At 38.4% G+C, this 24,933-nt stretch overlaps 1 long non-coding RNA gene across 2 annotated transcripts; it reads left to right on the top strand.

The window, feature by feature from the left end:
* The first annotated feature begins 1,266 nt into the window (after positions 1-1,266).
* LOC124907804 (uncharacterized) lies at positions 1,267-23,399 on the top strand. 2 transcript variants are annotated; one of them, XR_007086623.1, is made up of 2 exons: positions 1,267-2,871; positions 22,177-23,399. It is a non-coding gene; the product is annotated as an uncharacterized LOC124907804 (long non-coding RNA). The 2 variants fall into 2 exon arrangements; XR_007086621.1 differs by having other exon boundaries at positions 21,101-23,399.
* The last annotated feature ends 1,534 nt before the right edge of the window (positions 23,400-24,933 follow it).

The following is a 24,933-nucleotide window of genomic DNA, read 5'->3' as shown; positions in this document are numbered from 1 at the left end:
TATTGGATTTCAGACTTGCATGGGGCCTCTAGCCCCTTTGTTTTGGCCAATTTCTTCCATTTGGAATGGGTATATTTACCCAATACCTGTACCCTCATTGTATCTGGGAAGTAACTAACTTGCTTTTGATTTTACAGGATCATAGGCTGAAGGGACTTGCCTTGTCTCAGATGAGACTTTGGATTGTGGACTTTTGAGTTAATGCTGAAATGAGTTAACACTTTAGGGGACTGCTGGGAAGGCATGATTGATTTTGAAATGTGAGGACATGAGATTTTGGAGGGGCAAAGGTGGAATGACATGGTTTGGCTGTTTCTCCACCCAAATCTCGTCTTGAATTATAGCTCCTGTAATTCCCACATGTCATGGGAGGGACCTGGTGGGAGGTAATTGAATCATGAGGGTGCATCTTTCCCATGTTGTTCTCATGATAGTCAATAAGTCTCATGAGATATGATAGTTTTATAAAGGGGAGCTCCCATGCACCTGCTCTCTTGCCAGCCACCAGGTAAGACATGACTTTGCTTCTCTTTTGCCTTCCGCCATGATTGTGAGGCCTCCCAAGCTATGTGGAACTGTGAGTCCATTAAACCTCTTTCCTTTATAAATTACCCAGTCTTGGGTATGTCTTTATTAGCAGCATAAAAACAAACTGATACAAGTACATTTTGGGCTTTGGGGGAAAGTTCATGTTAAAGTTGGTAGATTTTTTTTTCCAAGATGGCAGATATTTTTCCAAGATGGTGTGCTTTGTTAGCATGCCTCATTTGCTCAGAAAGAGGAAAATCGTATGTAGAGACTCATAGTGTGAACTTTTATCCAAGAAGGAACATGGCAACTCAACAGAAAAAGTGAAAGTTCAGATACTTTTAAAACAGCAGCAGATGGGAACTTGCACCATGAGTCAGGTAGAAAACTCTGAGTCTCCAGAGGGTGGAAGATGGAGGGGCTGTCTCTGTGGTACACATTCCCACTGGGGAGCTGGGCAGTCCAGGCCATGGGAGAGCACCTCACCCTGCCCAGAACTGGAGCTGATTTGGTGGGTGGTGGGGAGTATATAAGAAGAAGTAGCATTAGGATGTGCTTTGCATACACTCCCAGACCCAATGGGGACAGAAGGATCCTGTCCCCATTGGCTCTGATCCTACTCATAGAGGACGCTCTATGATCCTAACTCATAGAGGACACTATGGAAATCTCCCAGCTAATTCAGATGCTGGTCACAGATTGGGAGAAGATCCCAAGTGATATTTGTGATCTAATCAGGAGTGGGGATGAGCTATCTAGGCCAGAACCAAGAGGTGAGCAGGAAGCATGCTCTTGCCCTGGCTGAGAGCTGCATGCCCCTGCTTCTTAGGCTGAACCCAGAAGGATGTGGCCTGGTTTCTGTCTCCAGCAGGAGTCTTGAAGCTTGGGGTAGTTTTGCATTCTGAGCACAGACAGCTGAAGGCCCAGCTGGCTGTGGCAGCTTTCTGCCAGCAGAAGTCCATGGATTTAAAATCTGCTCTGTCAAGGACGTGGGAGCTGGGTGCATCTCACTGCCAACTGCCGCTCCTCTTTCTATGTGTGGTGTCTTTTGTGCAGCAGAGGCAGTTCTGCTTCTCCCTGGAACATTACCCCAGCAACCAGGGAACTGCTGTCTGACTCCCATAGGGATTGCCACTTGTGTCTGCACTTGGGGAACCAGATCATAGACTTGTCTGACCCAGTCCCCACCTAGCTTTGCAACTCCATCTGCCTTGGTAGCAGAACCTAAACAGGGACTTTTGGGAGTTTCATAGCCCAGTCCATTGCCTAGGACATCTGAATATCCCCCATAGGTAAAATAGACCAAGTGCAAGTCCCACAGCCACCATCACAGCTGTCTCTCTCCTGCAAGTGCCACTTCCTGGCCAGAGGTCAACCAGCACAGCCCACTACAACATCTGCTGGCACAATAACACAGCACATGGGAGGAAGAAAACTTTTGTATGACCTCTGCTAACACCATTGCCCCCACTATTCCAGCCACTCAGGAGGCCTTGAGCCTATTCATGTTCCCAGTATATTACTACTACAGCTGTTAATTGAGAAAGCCATCACACTAAAGCTTTGTAAAGCCAAGGAAATCTTACGATGTCTACACCAATACCCTGCTATTCCCATCTTGGCTGGTGCTTCCACCCACTGCTGGGAGACCAGAGGACAGGTCATCCTGGTTCAGCTCCACCCAACATTGCCCCCTCTGGAGCTAAGAGCAGAGCCCTAGCTACTGCACATCCCACAGACCAGTCCATAGCCCGAGGCATCAGAGAGCTACTCCAAACGGCTGCCCAGAGATGTCAGTGACCAGTTCTCCTCAGAAGGAAGAGCCAAAATTACAGGTGAATAATCATAGTCCAAATGGAATGTTAAAGGGAAAGTTCTGGAACCTACCAGAGATTTCACTGGAAGAATCTACAACACACACAAAAGAAAGACACAAGAAGCTGACAGAGATCAAACCCTGAGAAAGCTAGTATTCCATAAAAGGGTAGGGAGTATTTTCAGCCTCTTTAACTCTTGTGGCAGACTGCTGGTTATCATAATTCAAGAAGAGATTCTTTGCCCTCATAAGCCCAAGTACTGGAGTGGGCTGCAATTTGGGGACTTCTTCAGAGCATTACACTGGGCTACCAGCTCATGCTGGGATCCTTCCTTTTCCCCCTGGACCTGGGCTGTAGTAGCGGGCACAATACTGGGTGTGCACTCATTGTGGGACTTCGCTTTGCTCGGAGACCTTCAAACCTTGTCTCTTCACATCACCATATCCTTTGCAACCATTCCCCAGCACAGCCTGGACTGTGACAGCCCCACAGGGTGGCTGGACCCAGAGGAGCAGTGGGCTTCACAGTAAGTAGTCTGGCTCTCAGGAATTGCCACACTTAGGGTAAGGGGGAGTGTGACATGCCAAGAGAGCACCGCATGGAACAAAGGGAACCAGAGTGCAAGCTTTTTTATGTCTCAGAAATTCCTGCTTGTGCCTTTTTCAGCAAAGGCAGTTCTGGGCTCAGTGGGGGAAGACTTGAGGTTCCTTCCCAGATGTCAAACAGCCCCAGTGCTCCAAAAAGGACTTGGGGAAGGAGACTTCTCCTTCCTCCCACCCACTGCTGCAAACATCTGGGGTTTCTCCCATGGGAGTTCCATGCAGGTACTATAGACAATCTTACTGGAGCATTTTGGGGTGACTGTGTCCCCATGGGAGGTGCACCCTCCAGGGTCAGGCTTGTGTGAGAGGTGGAGTCCCTCTGTCTCTCCACATGGAATTTCAGTGTTCCTATAGATGGACAGAGGTGACTGTCTGATCTGAATATCTGGAACACTGGGTCAGGGGCTTCGTGAGGAGATAGATAGCTTTTCTGTTGGCCTGGTAATGGAGCTGAGGTGGCTCCCTTTCTTTTCACTGTAAAAACCTCAGTGCATTTCACCAGAAGCTCCCCCGGACACCATCGACATGGATGGGACTTTTGTCCCCAATTGGGGTATTGCGTATACACACCTGCTTCAGCCACAGGTAGTTCTTATCTGTGAGTGTCTCTTATTGGCTTGAAAGCTGAACTGTTCAACCCAGTGAAAAAATTACTGGGGAAGAAAAAGTGTGCACCACTGGGGAATGAGAGAAGCTTCACCACTGGGGAATGAGATGAGCTTCATGAGACCTCTGTCATCCTGGCCCCATGTAAGACAGTGAACCTGCTCAGACACCTAGCACATTGCTACTGCAAGTGGCATCTGAGAAAGCCATCATACAAAGATTCTCTGTTACCAAGGAACTCATATAGTCTTTGCCACTGAAAGCACTCAGAGCCAAAGCTAGGTGGTCATAAACTATACATATATTATAGTCAAAACCTCAAGGGGGAAAAAAACTCAAGTCCCATCAGAAATAAATTTGAAAACAATATGAAGAAATAGTCTATTCAGATATGAAGGGACCAGAAAGATAATTCTAGCAATAGGAAAAAACAGAGTTTTACAACACCCCCAAAGTATCACACTAACTCTCCAGCAATAATCCAAACTAAAATGAAAACTTTGAAATACCAGATAAATAATTCAAAATATTGATTACAAAGCTGCTTAATGAGATCCAATAGAAAGTTGAAAACCAACATAAATAAATAAAAAAAATTAAGGACATGAATAAAAATTTTTCTAAAGAAAGTATATTCTTAAAAAGACCAGACAGAACTTCTGGAAATGAAAGACTCATTCAGATAATTATAAAATGCAGTGGAAACTTTTACCACTAAACTAGACCAAGGAGAAGAAAGAATTCTAGAGCTCCAAGAGGAGCGTTTTGAATTAACCCCCAAACCAACAAAAATTAAAAAAAAAAATAAAAGAAATGAACACAGTCTCCAAGAAATATAGGATAATATGAAACATCCAATCCTAAGAATCAAAAGTATTCCTGAAAGAGAAAAAGAAAAAAACACAAGAACTTGGAAGATATATTTGAAGGAATAATTGAGGAAAACTTCCCTGGTCTTGCCAGAGATTTAGACATCCAGATACAAAAGACTCAAAGAATTCCTGGAATAGTAATTGCAAAAAGAACATCACCAAGGCATACAGTCATTAGGCTACCTAAAGTCAATGGAAGGGTAAGAATTCTAAGAAAAGTGAGAAAAAAATCAAATAACTTATAAAGGAAAACCTGTCTGACTAACAGCAGACTTCTCGGCCAAAACTTTATAAACCAGAAGGGACTGTGGTTTTATCTTTAGTTTCCTTAAGCAGAATAACTGTCAGCCAAAAATGTTGTATCCTGAAGGCTGCATTTCTTACATGAAGGAAGAATAGTCTTTCCCAGATCACCAAACACTGGAGGAATTTGTCACCACTAGACTGGCACTAGAAAAAAATGCTAAAAGGAGTTCTAAATATTGAAATGAAAGGTTGACACTCACCAGTATGAAAACACTGAAAACTGTAAAACTCAAAGGGTTTAAAAACAGTAACACAATGGAGAATACAAAGCAACTAGGTAACAATCAACATAATGACTGGAACAGTATCTTACATATCAGTATTAACTTTGAATGTAAGTAGCCTAAATGCCTAACTGAAAAAATATAGATTGGTAGAATGGATTGAAAAACACAATCCAGGCTAGGCACTGTGGCTGCAATCCCAACAATTTGGGAAGCCGATGTGGGAGAATTGCTTGGGGCCAGGTCTTATTGCCAAGACAAACCTAGGCAACATTACAAGGCCTGTTTATACAAAAAATAAAGCAAATACTAGCTGGGCATGGTAGTGTGGGTCTGTAGTCCCAGCTACACAGGAGGCTGGAATTGGAGGATCACTGGAACCCAGGAGTTTGAGATTATAATGAGCTATGATTGTGCTACTGCACTCCAGCTTGAACAACAAAGTGAGACCTTATCTCAGAACCAAAAAAACAAAATCCACAATCCAAATATCTGCTGCCTTTAAGAGACTCACTTAACTCTTAAATATTTTTATAGACTGAAAACAAAGGGGTAGAGAAAAATATTCCACACAAATGGAAACCAAAAGCAAGCATAAGTAGCTATTCTTATATCATATAAAACAGACTTTAAATCAACAACAGTAAACAAAGATTTAAAAATTATAATGATAAATAGATGAATTAAACAAAAAGATATAACAATCCTAAATATATTTGCATCTAACACTGGAGCTCCCAGATTTATAGAACAGATAATACTAGGCCGAAAAAGAGAGGTAGACAGCAATACAGTAATAGTGTGGGACTTCAATACTCCACTGACAGCACTAGACAGATTATTGAGGAAGAAATTCTACAAAGAAGCACTGGACTTAAACTTGACTCTAGAACAAATGGCCCTAACAGACATTTACAGAAATTTCTATCCTTAAACTGCAGAATATACATTCTTATTCTTATTACATGGAACATTTTCTGAGATAGACTGTATGATAGGCCACAAAACAAGTGTAATAAATTTTTAAAAATTGAAATTATATCAAATATCTTCTCAGACCACAATGCAATAAAGCTAGAAATCAATTCTAAAAGGAACTCTCAAAACTCTACAAATACATGGAAAGTAAACAACCTGCTCCTGAACGATCTTTGGATCAATGATGAAATCAAAATGGAAACTAAAAAATTTTTCAAAATAAATAATAACCAGTGACACAAGTTATCAAAATATCTGGAACACAGCAGGAGTGCTATGTGGGGAGTTTATAGTGCTAAATGCTTACATCAAAAAGGCCAAACAATCACGAATTGACAACCCAACATCACACCTCACAGAACTAAAAATACAAGAACAAACCAAACCCAAAGCTAGCAGAAGAAAAGAAATAACAAAGCTCAGAGCAAAACTAAATGAAACTGAAACCAAAAAATCACAATACAAAGACTCAATGAAACAAAATTTGATTATTTGAAAAGATAAACAGAATTGATAGGCCAATAGCTAAATTAACCAAAAAAGAGAGAGAGGATTCAAGTAAACTCAGTCAGAAATAAAAAGAAGACATTATCACTGATAACACAAAAATACAAAAGATCATCCAAGACTACTATGAATACCTCTATGCACACAAACTAGAAAATCTTGAAGAGATGAATAAATTCCTGGAAACATACAATCCCCCAAGCTTGAATCAGGAAGAAAAGCAATCCTGGACAGACCAATGACAAGTAGTGAGATTGAATCCATAATAAAAAAATCTCCCCCTCCACACCCCCAGAAAGCTCAAGACTGGAGAGATTCACAGCTGAATTCTACTTGATGTTCAAATAACTGATACCAATCCTACTGAAAGTATTCAAAAAGATTGAGAAGGAGAGAATCCTCCCTAACTCATTCTATGAAACAAGTATCATCCTCATACCAAAGCCCAGAAAGGACATAACAATAACAAAAACTACAGATCAATATCACTAATGAACATAAATGCAAAAATCCTCAATAATTACTAGCAAACTGAATCCAATAGTACATCAAAAAGATACTTCACCACGATCAAGTGGGTTTCATCCTAGGAATTCAGGGATGGTACAACATATACAAGTCAATAAATGTGATTCACCATATAAACAGAATTAAAAACAAAAATTATTATTTCAGTAGAAGCAGAAAAAGCATTTGATAAAACCTAGCATCCCTTCATGATAAAACTTCTCAGCAAACAAGGCACAGAAGGAATATACATCAAACTAATGAAAGCCACATATGAGAAACCCACAACCAGCATCATACTAAATGGGGAAAAGTTGAAAGCATTTCTTCTCAGAACAGGAACAAAAAAAGGATGCTCATTTTCAACAATTCTATTCAACATGGCACTGAAAGTGCTAGCCAGAACAATAGGGAAAGAGGAAGAAATTAGGGGCATCTAAATTTGCAAAGAGGTAATCAAACTATCTCTGGTGATGATATAATCTGATACCTAGAAAACTCTAAACACTCCTCCAACAAAATTCCTAGATCTGGTAGATGAATTCAGTAAAGTCTCAGGTTACAAAATCAATGTATGCAAATCAACAGCACTGCTATACACCAATAACAATCAAGCTGATAAGCAAATCAAGAACTTAATTCATTTTACAATAGCTGAAAAAAAATACCTAAGAATCTACTTAACCAAGAAGGTGAAAGATCTCTACAAGAAAAAGTTAAAAGCATGGAGAAAATAAATCATAGATGACACAAACAAATGGAAAAACATTTCACACTCATGAAATGGAAGAATCAATAGTGTAGAAATGATCAGACTGCCCAAAGCAGTGTAGAGATTTAATGCAATTCTCTTCAAAATAACAATGTCTTTTTTCACAGATAAAACAATCTCTAAAGTTCATATGGAACCAAAGAAGAGCCTGAACAGCCAAAACAATCCTAAGCAAAAGGAGTAAATCTGGAGGCATCACATTACCTGACTTCAAATTATATTACAAGACTACAGTAAACAAAACAGCATGGCACTGGTATAAAAGTACCAGTGGGTACATAGACCAATGGGACAGAATAGAGACCCCAGAAATAAAGCCAAATACCTACAATCAACTGATCTTTGACAAAACAGACAAAAACATACACCTGGGAAAGGACATTCTATTCCATAAACGATGCTGGGAAAATTGTGTGGCCCCATGCAGAAGAATGAAACAGAATCTCTATCTTTCACCATATATAAAAATAAACTCAAAACGGATTAAAGACTTAAATGTAAGACCTAAAACTTTAAAAATTCTGGAAGAAAACCTAGGAAAAATTCCTCTGAACATTGGTCTAGGCAATGAATTTATGACCAAAACTACAAAATCAAATGCAACAAAAACAAAAATAAATAAATGGGACTTAACTAAACCAAAAAACTACTTCACAATGAAAGAAATAATCAACAGAGCAAACAGACAGCCTACAGTATGGGAGAAAGTATTTACAAACTATATATTTGAAAAAGGACTAATATCCAGAATCCATAAGGAACTCAAATCAGCAAATAATAATTAAAAAAACAAATAATCCCATTAAAGTAGGAAAATGACATGAACAAATATTTTTCAAAAGAAGATATACAAATGGCCAACAAACATATTTTAAAAAGTTCAACCTCCCTAATCATCAGGGAAATGCAAGTTAAAACCACAATGAGATACCAACTTACCTCATTCAGAAAGGCCATTATTAAACAGTTGAAAAACAACAGATGTTGGCATAGGTGTAATGAAAAGGGAACACTTATAAACTATCGGTGAAAATATAAATTAGTAAAATCTCTGTGGAAAACAGTATGGAGATTTCTCAAAGAACTAAAAGTAGATCTACCATTTGATTCAGCAATCCCACTGCTAGGTATCTACCCAAAGGAAAATAAGCCGTTATATCAAAAAGACATCTGCACTCATGTGTTTATTGTAGCACAATTCGCAATTGCAAAGACATGGTGTATTAGTCAGTTCTTGCATTGCTGTATACCTGAGACTGGATAATTTATAAAGGAAAGATTGGCTCACAGTTCTGCAGGCTGTACAGGAAGCATGGCAGCATCTGCTCTACTTCTGGGGAGGACTAAGGAAACTTACAATCATGGCAGAAGGGAAAGGGAGAATGAGCACCTCACACAGCCAGAGCAGGAGGAAGAGAGAGGGTGCAGAGGTGCTATACACTTTCAAGCAACCAGATCTCATGATAACTCGCTCACTCACTGTCACGAGAACGGAACAGGGGATGGTGCTAAACCATTCATAAAGGACCACCCCCATGGTAGGAGGACCATCACCTCTTATCAGGCCCCACCTCCAACACCTCCTACCAGGCCCCACCTCCAATACTGGGGATTACAATTTGACATGAGATTTGATGGGGATGCAGAACCAAACCATATAATATGGAATCAACCTAAGCACCCGTCAACCAATGAGTGGATAAAGAGAATGTGGTATAGATAGATAGAGAATATTCCGTGGTGTGTGTGTGTATGAAATACTACTGAAATACTACTCAGCCATAGAAAAGAACAAAAGAGTGTCTTTTGCAGCAACTTGGATGGAATTGGAGGCTATTCTTCTACGTGAAGTAACTCAGGAATAGAAAATCAAGTATCTCATGTTCTCACTTATAAGTGGGAGCTAAACTATGGGTACACAAAGGCATACATAGTGGTATAGTGGACACTGAAGACTCAGAAAGGGGAAAAGTGGTAGGAGATGAGGGATAAAAAATTATCTATTGGGTATAAAATACACTATTTGGGTGTTGACTATACCAAATGTCCAGACTTCACCACGATACAGTTCATCCATATAACCAAAAACCACTTGTACTCCTAAAGCTATTGAAATAAAAAGTGAATAAATTTGGTAGACATCTTCAGCAAAGTAATATAAAAAATATTATGCATCTCCTTAGCTTTCAAAACTGGCTTACAATGAGATAAAAATCAGCAATGTATTTAGAGCTTAAAATTGTTCAAAATAGGACAAAACCTACCAAAGCTATGTATTTGTCATTTGTGACAATTATTATTAATACATGATTTTTGGATATGGAGATCCTCCTTATACTGACACATGGGTCATTCAGAAAGCTAATCACAAGCTAAGAACAATGATCTTTATTGGCCATCTAAAAATCATTTCCTAAGCTATTCCTTTTAAAAAAACCAGTTAGCTGAACTTTGGCCATCCACTTCTGTTATAGAAGGGGTCAAGTGTGTTGGCTTCCTACTTATAGAGAATATAATAATGGCTAACTATAATTAAATGCTTATCTTAGCCAGGAACTCTTCTGAGCCCTTCATATTATTTCCAATTTAATCTTCATATGAACCCTATGAATTAAGTTACTATTGTTATCCCCATTTTACAGATAAGGAAACTAAGACAGAGAATTTTAAAAACTTGCCCCATTGATAGATTGAAGATTTGAACTCACCACTATGCTAATCCAAATATCAGAGCTAAATTATTTATTAGAAATAACTTTTCCCATTGATGAGAAAAAATGAGGTCTAAGATGGGAGTACCTTGCTTAAGTTTATATAACTAACATGGAAGGACATGGAGTATAGTGAGAAGAGCACCAAACATGGATTTTAGACAAGAGTAAGGTTTTAATTCCCGTGGTTTCATTTCTTGTTTTGAAACCAAAAAAAAATCACTTTCTTCTATTGATGTAACTTCCTCCTATTGATATTCAGTGTTAGTACATGCAAATTTGAGATCATTCAATATGTAGCAATACCTTTCAATATGTAGCTACCAATATGTAGCAAATACCCAGCACTGCTATGTGTGGGAATAGAATACACCTCCCCTTGAGGCACTCACAATCTAGTGGAGAAGCAGTTGGAAACATGGAATTATGCATATGCTACATTGTTTCAGAGAAGTAAGTGCAAGGTAAAAGATGCCTTCCCTCCAAAATAGTATGGTTTTTGTAGCTGGACTTGAGAAATTGATATAATTGAGTGTGTGGAAGAGCAGGTTGCTCACATGTGGATAAATGCTAAGAGATTATTTTAGAGAGGAAGGTGGGGCAAGTCCTGCATGTCATTCTAAGTAGTTTACACTAGGTCATGTGGGCCATGCAAGGTTATTCAAGAATTTTAATCATAGGGGTGATCTATTCCAGTTTGCATTTTAGCAAGTTCACACTGCTAGCAACCTGAAAGATGGTTTGAAGGTGGCACCGTTAGAGATAAGAGATTGCAAGAGTTCAAATAAGTAGTGATAGGCTGAACAAAGGCAAGCATAGAGGCCAGGAGATAATGGAAGGGTTTGAGAGATATTTAGGAATTAGAATCAAAAGAACCTTGTTATTAGATATGGTAAGAATCAAGGTTATATACAGTCTCTATTGTTCAAGTTGTCTCTTACAAGGTGGTGGATGGTGACAACATTTGACAAGATGGAGAACAAAGACTGATGATCAGTATGGGCAAATTTTGAGGGGAAGGCAATACATTCTGTTCTCTATATGTATAGTTTGGTGAACAAGTGAGACATCTAGGAGATTTCTAGGAGGCTGTTTGAAATAAGGATGAGGAACTTTGGAAAGATATTCATGATATAAATACAGATTTGACTCATCCCTGCCAGAGCCATGAGCATGAATGTCATCTCCAGGGAAAGTGAATGGAATGTGAATGAAAGGAAGTGGGACCCCGAGCGACGCCATCATTCTGGAAAAAGGCAAATGAAGGGCTAACGGGTGGCCCAGAGAAAATTCACACAGAGAAATCAGCAAGAGACTAGGGACAGAAGAATGTTGCTTAAGCCAGCAGGTGGAAGGGCTTTAAGGAGTTGGTTGTTCAGAGGGTCAAGTGTTCCTCAGACATCAGAATGACAGGAACTGGCAATTAGATGGCCATAGTTATCCTGGTGAGAGGAGTTTCATGGAAGCATGTGTTAGGGCAAAAGCTATAATGCAGTGAGTTGAAGGGTATATGAGATGTGAGGCCGTGAATGTAAGCACCTATTTCAAGTACAGCTACAAAGTGGAGCTGTGAGGTGGTACAGTAGCTAGAAGAGTCAATAACATTAAGGGAGGGTTTTCTAAGGTGGAAGATAGATGAGCATGTTTTTAACCTTCAGAGGAGCCAGCAGTAAAGAAAGATTGATACTGTGGTAAAGACGGCTTAATAAATGGAGTAAGGAGGTAGAATTTGGTGTGCTCCGGAGCTCAGATGCAAGAATCAGCCTTAGCCTGAATAAGGATATTTCTTTGTTTGCTGTGTATAAAGTTTTTAAAATTTCTTTAATAATTTATTGAAGTCATAGATATAAATACATGGTATCAAATCTATTAGTACAGAAGTAGGTGATATACAACAATAATCATCTTTACCACTCTACTTTCCTCAGTAAACTCTACTTTCCCCCATTAGACAGAAGGAATTTTTTCACACTAAAAATGGATTTATGGTTTTGTATTGATTAATAAACAATATACATGCAATACAAACAGTTTAATAGTACCCATACAAATATAAAGAAAGTAAATGTTGCTTAAAATCCTAGCCTTCTAAAATAATCACATGGCAGGGACCATTCTTGCATCTATCTATGTATCTATCTATCTATCTATCTACCTATGTATGTATGTATGTATGTATGTATGTATGTATGTATCTATCTATCTATCTATCTATCATCTATGTATCTATCTATCCATCCATTCATCCATCCATCCATCCATCTTCCCATCTATCTATTTCTTTTCCCTACCCTTCTCTAGCCCATGTAAGTTTAATACCACCATTCTATCTTATTAACTATAAGCCCTGCTAACAGCCTAGTGGGTGCTCTTCTGGCCTTACATACAGCTCCTATATTTATATAATCTCATATGTATAATTTATATAATCTCATATATAATTATATATTTATATAATCATATAGATAGATTCTATATTTATAGAAATTTATATATTATATATTTTATACCTATATAACTTTCGTTGGTCACTGTTCTATTTTTTAAAAATAAGATTATGTAACACATACTTTTCTGTGTCTTGCTTTTCTCACTCAATAATGCATTGCGGAATCACTCCAAGTCATTTGGTATTGCTCTAGCTCATTCTTTTGATATACAATATTCTGATATGTGGCTATATTTCAATATATTTAGACATTCTCTTATTATAGAATGTTTACTTTCAATCCACTGCAGATTTGTGATAAATACCATTGTACATATGCTCTTTTATATTAGTACATTTATTTCTATGAAATAGACTGCCAGAGTAAAATTGCAGGATCTAAGAGTATGTGTATTTTTAATTTTCATAGCTGTTGCCTAGTTGCCTGGTGTGTTGTGTATGGTGCTTTTTTTTAGAGTGCTTCCTTATGTTGCAGAGGCTAAAAAGCTAAAGCTTACATTTTCCAGAATCCGTTGCAGTCAGAATGTGACTTAGTTTGGCTAGTCATATTTATGCAAACTTTGAAATGCAGAAGTGAAGTGGAGACTTTGTTTCTGCTGATTATGCATTTTTTAGATGGAATATAAGGACATGGAAATATTTGGCTTTTTGTTTTCCTTTGGAAGCAAAATGAATGTCCCATGTCTAGAAATAAACCAAATGTCCATCAACAATGAAATGGAAATTAAGTTGTGGAACAGTCAGGCAATGGAATACTATGCATCAGCAGAAATAAATTAGCTAAAACTATTCATATCAACCAGAAATAGCTCAAAAACACCTTCTGGTGGGACAGAAGGAAGTCATAAAAGAAAATATATAATATAGTTGACTCTTGTGGTGCCCCTTACTCCACACCTTTAGTTCACCTGGGTTCAGGTGGACAGTTCCATGCAGTGGCCTGTGTCCCACCTCAAGGTCACAATGAGGGGCCTCTGCTTTTCTGCCTTAGGCCTTTCTTGGAGCCATGAGAAGCCACTCAGCTTGAGCCTGCAGGGGAGTTAAGCCCCTAAGAGCAACTCTCTGCCAAACGGAGATAATGTCAGTGAATAAATGCCCAGTCTCCTTTCCTTTGGTCTGGAGGGCCAATTCTGAAATGCATTTTACACAGTTGTATAGAGAGTACCCAACAGGACTGTGTCTGAGTTGCCCACATTGGCAACGAGCTTAACAATGTATTTTTATTTTACATTCTTCCTTCTCTAGTCTCTACCCCACCCCTACACCTCTCCTTCCTGGGATCACCTCCAAAATACACTACCTGCACCCAAATCTTTTTCTCAGGCACTATTTTCAGGGAAACTCAAACTACGGCATACAGTATGGCCCTATTCGCATGCAATTCAAAAACAGGCAAATTAAATATTGTGTAGATAGATATGCATGTGAGATAAAACTATGAAAGAAAGCAAGATAATAGTTAATATAAGATTAATATACTATGCTCATTCCTGGGAGAAGGGAAGAAGCTATCCTCTGGGAAAGACATTCAATGTCTTCAAAGATACTAGTCTTATTTTATTCTTTAACTTGTGTTACTTACGTGACATCTGTTTTATTACGTCTTAAAATGATCAGTTCTTGACTTTTTAGTCTCAGGAACCCTTTACACTCTTAAAGAATATTTCAGACTCCAAAAGACATTTGTTTATAGGAGTTACATCAAATGATAATTACTGTATTCAAAATTAAAACTGAGCAATCTTTTAAATATTGATGTTTATTTGTTTGAAAATTACAATAATAAACCCACTACCTGATAAATAACTTATATTTATGAAAATAAGTATTTAAAAAAACAAAAAACAAAAAATTCAGTAAGAGTGACATTGTTTTGCATTTTTTCAAATGTCTTTAATGTCTAGGTTAATAGAAAACAGCTAGGTTCTTATATCTGCTCTATCCTTCTCTTCAGCCTATAGAATTATGCCATTTGGTTGAAGAATAATGAAGAAAATCTAGCTTCAAATCCTATGCAATTGGAAAATGGGGAAATAGTTCAATGGTTAAAACAAATTAATTATGTATGTTCTTTGATCGTATACCCAAATTTGACAAGTGCTAGTTTCTTAAAGGTTAGTTGCAATGTGGCATCTAAAACTACATAAGTGGATTTTTAATACCCTGTTACATTAAAATCCATTGGTCTTCTTGAACTTTGAATGGATCTTTTACTCACCCATGATGTTACATTGGAAAATAGTGATTCTCTGAATTATGCAAATCTTTCAATGTTGACATATTTCATTCTAGAATATCAAAAAATCACATGTGAGAAAATCACCACTGATGTAATTAGAAAAAAGTCTTTAAATATTGGGAACTGTCAAGCACATAATGGTGAATACATATTTTCCAAAATTCTAATTATTTGCTTTAAAGCACAAATTTTACAATGGGCGACAAATGCTATCAATTGTTTTCCTTGCAGTGTCAGGCTCTCTTCATTCATTTTTGAGAAAATATCTGCTAGATACCCAAGGCTGAATAATCTTAGTTTGTCTGTCAGTCATTCTTCCAAGCACAAATAATGGTTCAAGAACAAAGCAGCTACTTCAGCTCACAACACAAAACATACAAGTGTTTCACCTCAAGGCAACCATCATACTTCTTTGTGCAACAGAAGTTCTTTGTGCATACATGTCATTTTGTTGCACGTACTTGAGTTAAGATTTAATAAAGTCAGTAATATTTACAGACTCATTAAAGCATTTGTAAAGTGAAGCTGGCATTCTTTTATCTGTGAGTGCATGGTGAGGAGAAATACAGTGAATACTAGCAGAGTTTGGTGCTATTGCCTTGGTTCAGACTCCAGGGTTTTTACTCACCATTGTTTTTGCATCAGTGCAAATGTCAACACAGTAAAAACGGCAAATGTCTTAGTATTATTATGAAAATAGTTTGACCTCATGGGACCCCTGAAAGTGTTTCAGGGATTTGTAAATCATACTTTGAAAACATTAAGTTGTATTTACATTATATACATTTTAAAAGTATATGTTTCCCTATAATCAAAAAGACAAAATTCCTGTGCTGCCAAGTAAATATTTTACAGTTTTTTGGTGACCTTTGCTAATTGTATAAAAAGCATGTTGGATGGGGTTTTCTCCTATTTTCTTTTGGCCATACCACTCCCCACTTCCCATCTCCCAACCATGCAAGCACTTGGCTTTTTAAAAAAATTGATAAACTTTATTTTTTAAAGCAGTTTTAGGTTCACAGCAACATTGAGCAGGAAGTAAAGAGAGTCTCCACATACCTTCTGATATAGTTGGCTCTGTGTTCCCACCCAGATATCACCTTGAATTGTAATAATCCCCATGTGTTGTGGGAGGGACCCAGTGGGAGGTAATTGAAACATGGTGGCAGGGCTTTCCTGTGCTGTTCTTGTGATAGTGAATAAGTCTCATGAGATCTGATGGTTTTATAAAGGGGAGTTCTCCTGGACATACCCTCTTGCCTGTCACCATGTAAGACATGACTTTGCTCCTCCTTTGCCTTCCGCCATGATTATGACTTCCCCAGCCATGTGGAACTGTGAGTCCATTAAACCTCTATTTCTTTTTTTTTTTTTTTTTTTTTTTTGAGATGGAGTCTTGCTCTGTTGCCCAGGCTGGAGTGCAGTGGCATGATCTTGGTTCACCGCAACTTCTGCTTCCCAGATTCAAGCGATTCTTCTGCCTCAGCCTCCTGAGTAGGTGGGATTACAGGCACCTGCCACTATGCCTGGCTAATTTTTTTGTATTTTTAGTAGAAATGGGGTTTCACCATGTTACCCAGTCTTGGGTATGTCTTTATTAGCAGCATGAGAACAGATTAATACTCCCTTGTTCCCATACATACACAACCTCCCCCATTATAGACATCCTGCACCACAGTGGTACATGTTCCAATCAATAAACCTACATTGACACATCATTATCACCCAAATTCCATAGTTTATGTTAGATTTCACTTGTGATGTTGTACATTCTACTGCTTTGGACAAATGTATAATGGCATGTATCCATCATTGCAAGACCATAGACAGTAGTAGTGTTTTTTTCTTTGTTTGTGTTTGAGATGGAGTCTTGCTCTGTCACCCAGGCTGGAGTGCAGTGGTGCGATCTCGGCTCACTGCAAGCTCCGCCTCCTGGGTTCATGCCATTCTCCTGTCTCAGCCTCCCAAGTAGCTGGGACTACAGGTGCCTGCCACCACACCTGGCTAACTTTTTGTATTTTTAGTAGAGACGGGGTTTCAGCATGTTAGCCAGGGTGGTCTCGAACTCCTGACCTCATGATCCAGCCGGCTTGGCCTCCCAAAGTGCTCGGATTACAGGCGTGAGCCACCGAGCTGACCAGCAATTGTATTTGTACTCACTCAAACCCATTTCCAATTATATGCAAATTAAGGTGCAGGTTAATGCAAATTGAGGGCAAAGGTTACTTAGAACTTTCTAGGAAAGGGGCGGTAACTTCTAGGTCGTTGCCACAAAAATGAGCAGTAAGTTTCAGCTCATTGCCATGATGCTGGTGGGAGTGTCTTATGCTAATGAGCAATGAGGTAGCTAGGGATCTCTTTTGTCAGTATCTGCTCATTTCCTCCAGTTTCTTTGCTTTATCGTGTCTGGACTAGATCCTGTTTTTGTTAGCAGGGTAGTGACAGAAAACAAGTCCCGCCAGTCTTGTACCGGTTTCACTGCCCTAAAAATCCTCTATGCTCTACCTATTCATCCCTTCCTCCTTAATCTCTGGCAATCATTGACCCTTGTACTGTCTCCATAGTTTTGCCTTTTTCAGAATGTCAGATAGTTTGAATAATATAGTATGTAACCTTTTCCTTGGCTTCTTTCACTTAGTAATATGAATTCAAGTTTCTTCCCTGTCTTTTTATGGCTTGATAGCTTATTTTTTTTTCTAGTAGTGAATAATGATAATAAATATTCTATTGTCTGGATATAATACAGTTTTTTTCATGCATTGGCTTACTGAAAGACCTTTTGGTTGCTTCCGTGTTTTGACAATTATGAATAAACCTGCTATAAGCATCTGTTTGCAGGTTTTTATGTAAATATAAGTTTTCAATTTAATTGGGTAGATACCAAGGAGTATACTTTATGGATTGTATGGTAAGAGTGTCTTTAGTTTTGAAAGAAATTGCCACACTGTCTTCCCCAGTGACTGGACCACGTTGCATTTTAATAAGCAATGAATGAAAGTTCCTGTTGCTCCACATCCTTGCCAGCATTTGGTGTTGTCAGTGTTCCAGATTTTGGCCGTTCTAATAGGTGTCTAGTGGTATCTTACTTTTATTTTGCAATTGCCTGGTGATATATCATAGGGAGAATTTTTTCATATGCTTATTTGACATTTGTATATCTTCTTTGGTGAGGTGTCTGTTAAGGTATTTGGCCCATTTGCTAAGCAGGTTGTTTTATTGCTGAGTTTTAAGACTTCTTTGTAATTTTGGATAACAGTCATTTATGAAATGTATCTTTTGCAAATAGTTTCTCCAAGTCTGTGCTTATCTTCTCATCCTCTTTGTATTGTCATTTGATGAGCAAATGTTTTAAATTTTAATTAAATCCAACTTATCAATTATTTCTTTCATGGGTTTTGTACTTTTGTTGTTGTTGTAGCTAAAAAGTCACTGCCATACCCAAAGTCAGTCAGGTTTCCTCCTGTGTTACCTTCTAGGAGTTTTATAGTTTTGAATTTTACATTTAGGTCTGTGATCCAGTTTGAGTTAATTTTTGTGAATGGTGTAAAATATGTTTCTAGGTTCATTTTTTTTTTTTTTACATGTAGATGTCCAGTCTCCATGTTCCAACACCATTTGTTGAAAAGACTATTTTTGCTCCATGGTTTTGCCTTTGCTCCTTTGTCAGAGATCAGTTGAATCTACTTATGTATGTGTATTTCTGGGTTATTCATCAGTTCCACTGACCTATTTGTCTGTTTGTTCATCAAAACTACACTGTCTCAATTACTATACCTAATAATGTCAGTCCAACTTTGTTCCTTTCCTTCAGTGTTGTGTGTCTGGGTCTTTTGCCTCTCCCTATAAACTTTAGAATCAATAATAATTATTTGCTGAAATTTTTATTACAAATGCATTGAATCTACAGATAAAGTTGGGAAGAACTGACATCTTGACAATTCAGGAGTGTGGCATATCTTTCTATTATTTGGTTCTTCTTTGATGTCTTCCATCAGAGTTTTATAGTTTTCCCCATACAGATCTTTCACATATTTTGTTAGGTAGCGTTTAGCTTTTATACTCCTAAAAAGTTTAAAACCTTTTGACCTACACATTTGATGCCACCATTTGGACTTGGGTTCATTTTGACAATGCTTAAAAACCAAGTCATTAAACTTCAGAGTTTTAGACTATTAAATAAAGTTTTTAGCAGACTCCTTCACAACATGTTTACCAAGGAGATGTCAAATAAATTCTGGAGAACCATCCTAGAGATGGGCTGAAGAATGACATGATAATCAGGGATGTCTATCGAGGACGTAACTATTTTAACTGAACCACTTTAAAATGTTGGCAACAGTATGGCCCACGTCAAAAGAATTGCGTAATATATCCTGTTTGTGTAATTATTTCTATGAAAATGCAAGTTGGAAGCTGGAATCTAGTCTGAGGGAAAATCCAGTGTAGCTCAAGTGTTCCAGTTGGTAAACCCCAGAGCACATAAATATGATTCTTGGATTCTCTAACTATGAGGACTTCATTTCATTCTGTACCATGAGCCAGAAGCTGTAGTTATTTTCTACTCTTGCTCTTTCTCTCTGCTCAAATAATTGTGGCACTATTTATGCTCTTCCAGCTCATGCATTTCATATCTCCCATTTGTTTCTAGAGTGAATATTTCATGTGGATTTTCAATATCATTTTTAGTGATTCATAATCACATTCTACAAGCCAATATTTTTCATGCTCGGTTTCAGGCCCCAGTGTAGTATTTTTGCAGTGCTTTTCAACTGATTTTGGCTTTTCAGGAGGCCAAAACATAATCCAACAACCCACAACTAAAAACAATAATAAATTAGTGGTTAGATGCTATGATTCAACCATATGTTTTGTTCTCACTGAGAAAATCTCTTGGGTAATTTTAGAAAACAAATTAAAAAGTAATAAATTTTTAAATGATTAAGGTTTTTATTTGTATATGCAACTACTCTTTTTGTCATGATATGTACTGCATATTTAGACATTTGGTCCTAATTTTTAAAATCCAAAATCTCATGGTATTATTTGTAATAAGAATATATTTCTAATCATCCCTGTATTTTTAAGCATGTGGGGTTAGGTTTCAGCCCAAGGTTTGTGTTGTAGATAATTGTGCATGGCTTTTAATATTACAGTTTTGAAGATGCAAAGCTGTGGTTTAATATGCTTCTTTCCTTCGTTATTGTTTTTGTAAATGGTGCCCATTTTTGTAGCACCTCTCTTTCTTTTATACAGTGATCCCTCGCTGTTTTACAAAACATACCTAGTAACCAAAAAAAGAAACAAAAAAGAAAGAAAGAAAAGAAAAGAAAAGAAATTGCTGTGAATGAACATTTGCTATTTGTGACTTGTTTTCCATGAATTCTGCAATGATGTTGTGGTTTAATACTGGTTTCCAATCAGCTCTCAGATTATTCTTATTTCACAGGAATTCAGCAAAATCATGGCTCCATCTCTGTGATATTTTGACACTTGTCAAAGAATGCACAAGTCAGTGAAACCAGCAATTTTTTTCAGATATTTCATTCCTCATATGGTGGTTTTGTTGAATTCAAATGCTTAAAAATAATTATTTTACATTATTAATTTTATGGCAATAGCTAAAGCCAGAGATGATTATGTTTGGTGCTTCTCATTATGCCTCTTATTAAAAAAAAAAAAGGAGTTCTACAACTTTGAAAGTTAGCAAAATACATAGTGGGAAAAGACTCCAGTTTTAAATCAGAAGTCCCAACTTTAAATTCCATTTCTGTACCATACTACTATTGGATCATAAGCAAGCCACTTAACCTAGGCTTCAGTTTTTATCAAGTCAGGCTCATTGACTTATGTAGCTATTGTGAAGATCAAATATTAGTGACTGTACTATTATGGAATTAATTGTTGACACTAATCTTGGCTCATGAATCACTGTGCAAGGCAATCTAGTTCTAATAGCAGTATGTGTCCTTTCTCCCCAATGAGGTATACAGCTTCCTAGGAGCAGATATTATATCTGCCCAAATCAGAGTTAGCATATGTAAGAGAGTCAGTAAAATACTTCCTGAATTCAACTGAGGCAATTCCATGAAGAAAAAGGAACCACAAGAGGGAACATCATGAGGTAGGGGTTCTTGTCATTGTTCTGCCACCCATTTTGAATGTGTTAACTTATCACTCAAGGTCTGTATAGTTTGTTTGTGAAACGACATTGAATCAACTGGCTAGGATCCCTAAGTATGTGTCTTACATTGAAATTACCGGGCACCTGATGAGCTTTCTCTGGAAATCTCCAACTAGGCCACTTCCTGTTGCAGAAGTGGAAAGAACTTTGTTTCAAAGCACATACATCTGTGAACCTCCCAGCTCTTCACTCCTGGCACGGAATATCAGTGTCTGGATGTGGCGTTCTTCATCCTTGTTTATAAACACTGAAACATGCCTCTTCCTGATTAAAGACAATTACCTATTCCCTCTCTTTTCCACTTCAGTTATATTCTCCCTGAGGCCAGGAAAGGAGCTCACCTCTGACCTTGTGTGATTTTCCCATATTAGCTCACCAGAGAGTGACTGAATTGCAAATCAGATCCTCTTTTCTGTTACTCAGAATTTTACTTGATCTTGCCTACTGCAAAGTTGCAATTAGGCTGTCTGAGAAGTGTAAATCAAATCCATTTAACCTCTCTCAGGAAGATGGCAAACGCTCAATACCAAGTTCCCTATCTTTTCCATGGCCATTTGTATTAAAATGCTGACAAATGCTTACTTCTCTCCATCTGATCAGCTTCTCAGGTTCTCATCCTTTGCCATTATTTTCTATTTAAAAAGCTGTTCACATACATGTCTCTTTCCCCCAGGTTCTAGTACCCCAGATGTGATACATGCATGAGGGGGCTAGAACTTCCTGCAAGGGTGCAGGGGAGCAGGGAAGTGGGGGGTAGCGTGGGGTCAGTGGTTGCGGGGAGGTGATGAAAGGGCCCAGCTGCCCTGGCTGATGTGGAGGCTCACATTTGGCTATAGAGACTGCCCAAGGCTCATGGTGATTTCTGTTCTCAAACCAGATAAATCAAGACTTCCCACTATCCAACTGTAAAGTTCCCAATCATCAACAACTTCATGCCCACCCTCCACCACAAAGGGAAAGGAAACTGCCCTTAGCATCCCTGAAGGGATTTTGCCTTGCTTGTGTCTCAAAACTCTTCTGTGCTCTGTGACCCAGGATGTCAGCGTATCATCAAACAACACTCTGATTTTTTTTTTTTTTTTACCTTATCTCCTGTTCTTAGACCTTGGCCTCTCTTCCTCAGTGTACTGAATCAGCTTTTGCTATAATTTTGGTGACTCATATTGGCCCTGATCATTATTGGAATCCCGTAAGTTTCATATTCTGCTCCAAGAAACATTTGGATAAATTGAGAAAAACTAATAGCCTTTCATGGTAATAACAGTCTACTCCCTTCATGATGTCAACAAATGCTATCAGAGTCCACACAAGACCTCCCAAACATTTCTGATGATCAGAGACAAGATACCGTCTTATATACCAAAAACCTCAGGTGAGAAACAGAAGTAAACTGGCAAGCCATCCCTGAAGCTCCAGACAGCAAACACAGCAAGCATGCAGCTTCCCCTTCTGTCTGGAGGAATCTTGTGCTAAGCAGCACCTACCCACAAGCCTTTGTTTCTCTACAGATGGAAAAGCTCCTGCCATCCTGGGCAGCACATGGTAGAGGGGAGGCAGCCACTGACCTTCTGGGTAATCTGTCATGACGACCTGATAGCAGACCGGCAGGATGCTCCAAACTGTCACCAAAGATGTCACGAGTGCTTCTGAGGCTCAAGAATCTAATTTTCCTTACTTAAAATAAAAGGACTGAATGCTGGATGAATAACCCTTTTTTTCACCCCCTAAACAAATCTCATAGGGAATCCTAATATATAAAATAACCAAAGTGCAAGCCCTGGGTTAAAGCCGAGGATGGGTGCTAGAGATGGGCTAGAGCATGTCTGCTTAGCTTTCTTCCACTATCCCAGCCATTTAAAGACCACAAGTTAGCTTCCTGGAATTCAGTTTGACAAACACTTAGGCTAGATCATTGTCAGGGGACCTTCATTTCAAGCTCCATGGAGTAGGTCGGGGACTCTGCCTTGGTCATCCCTGAATCCCCACAGCCATGGTTCTAGCACACAGTAAGCACTAAAAACCAAAACCCAAAAACCCGTATGATAATGTATGTCTACAGACATTCGATGAATGGATGAATAAAAGATTTTTCAGATACCATGAGATGTGTTTATCTATTTAAGATTATAACTCCATTGACCAATAGAGTTGGGTTTTAAGCTATAACCCCCCAATCTGACCATCTACTATATACCTTCCCTTCCCCCAACTTTTCTCTCTACACATATAAAAACTCAGCCTTATCTTCTCTGAGATTGCATCTCAAACACCAAATGAAAATGTCTCCCAAATGGGCAGACAGCTTGTTTATACAGAAATAATTGCTTCAGCACAGTGTCCTCCTTTACAGGAAAACTGGAAGAAAATGCTGAGTAGGCAGATTCCTCCTCCTTTGCATTAGGAAGAAATTTAAAACCTGTTTCAGTTGTTTCTTTGGCCTTGTGTAAAAATAAGGCTTTTCTCCCCAACCTTGGGGCTAAGTAAAAAATAAATAAATAAATAAATCTAAACCTGGCTTACAGTTTCTCTGAGCTCCCAAAATAAGTCCATGCGATTTTGAAATGTATTCTTCCCCCTTCTTTTCTTAAGTTGGAACCAGTCAGAGATGAGTGGATGTTCATTTGGCAGCTTGAAACTGCTGAGAAAGGTGGAAACAATATGGATGTCTTGGCATCATTCACTCTCCCTCTCTTCCCTCTCCCCAGAAGAGGCTGTAATGCTAAGTGTGGATCCTGCCAACTAAGCCAAGGCTGGATCTTGAGGCAGGCCATCAGGTGGTTAATCCACCAAGAAGCCCGCCGGCTGTTTGAGTTTATTACCATTTATCATTATGTCTGCCTTAAATAAAAATTCTTTAATCACCTAATACTATTTTTATTGGCATGTTGTCAGAATGTGGGGAAGAATGGAGGGGAATTCATTTCATGTCTTGCGGAACATTACTTTGGTAAAGTATTAGGACAAGTCTATGCCTTCTTCCTTTGAAAAATAAGATACAAAACCAATTAAAGTTAAGTGATTACTGAAATGCATCTAATTAGAATTAACTTACACACATCAAACCATGATGGCAGCTTCTGCAGAAAAAAAAAAAATCCTGTTTGGTGTTGATACAGAAGATAATTGATATCACAGGGCCTCTGCATCTCAGGCAATTGCTTAAGAAAGCACCTTCACAGCTCAGAGCCTTCTCTCCCTTTGGGTTGGGGTACATTTTCGTCAATCTGACAAGTTCTGTCACATATTATCAGACAATTGATCACCGGCTCCTTGCAAGTCTTAATCCATCGTTTGATCACATATCAAGAAAAATTGCTTTTTATGTCTTCCATCTTGGCCATGAGAAAGGGGAAGAAAGCAGAGACTTAGGCTTCTGGCTCCAGCTCATTACTTTTTTGCAAATGATAGATGGGTTCACTAGGCAATTTAACTTTAAAATGATCCTTTCCCCTTTCTCAAATAAGCAAATACAAGGAGCTTTGCAGCATAAGCTGAGTGAAAGGGACTTTGCCTACTGTTCCTTTTGTATCTCTATAATAGGTGCCCATGTGTGGAGAGGGGCATGTAGGGTTACTAAATATGTATTTACTTAGTATTACTGCATCTGCTTCTAAATAATAGGACTTAAAGTGGA

Source organism: Homo sapiens, chromosome 2 (genome assembly GCF_000001405.40).
Source record: "Homo sapiens chromosome 2, GRCh38.p14 Primary Assembly".
NCBI classification, from domain to species: Eukaryota; Metazoa; Chordata; class Mammalia; order Primates; family Hominidae; genus Homo; species Homo sapiens.
This window is presented reverse-complemented; position numbering and strand designations above follow the sequence as displayed.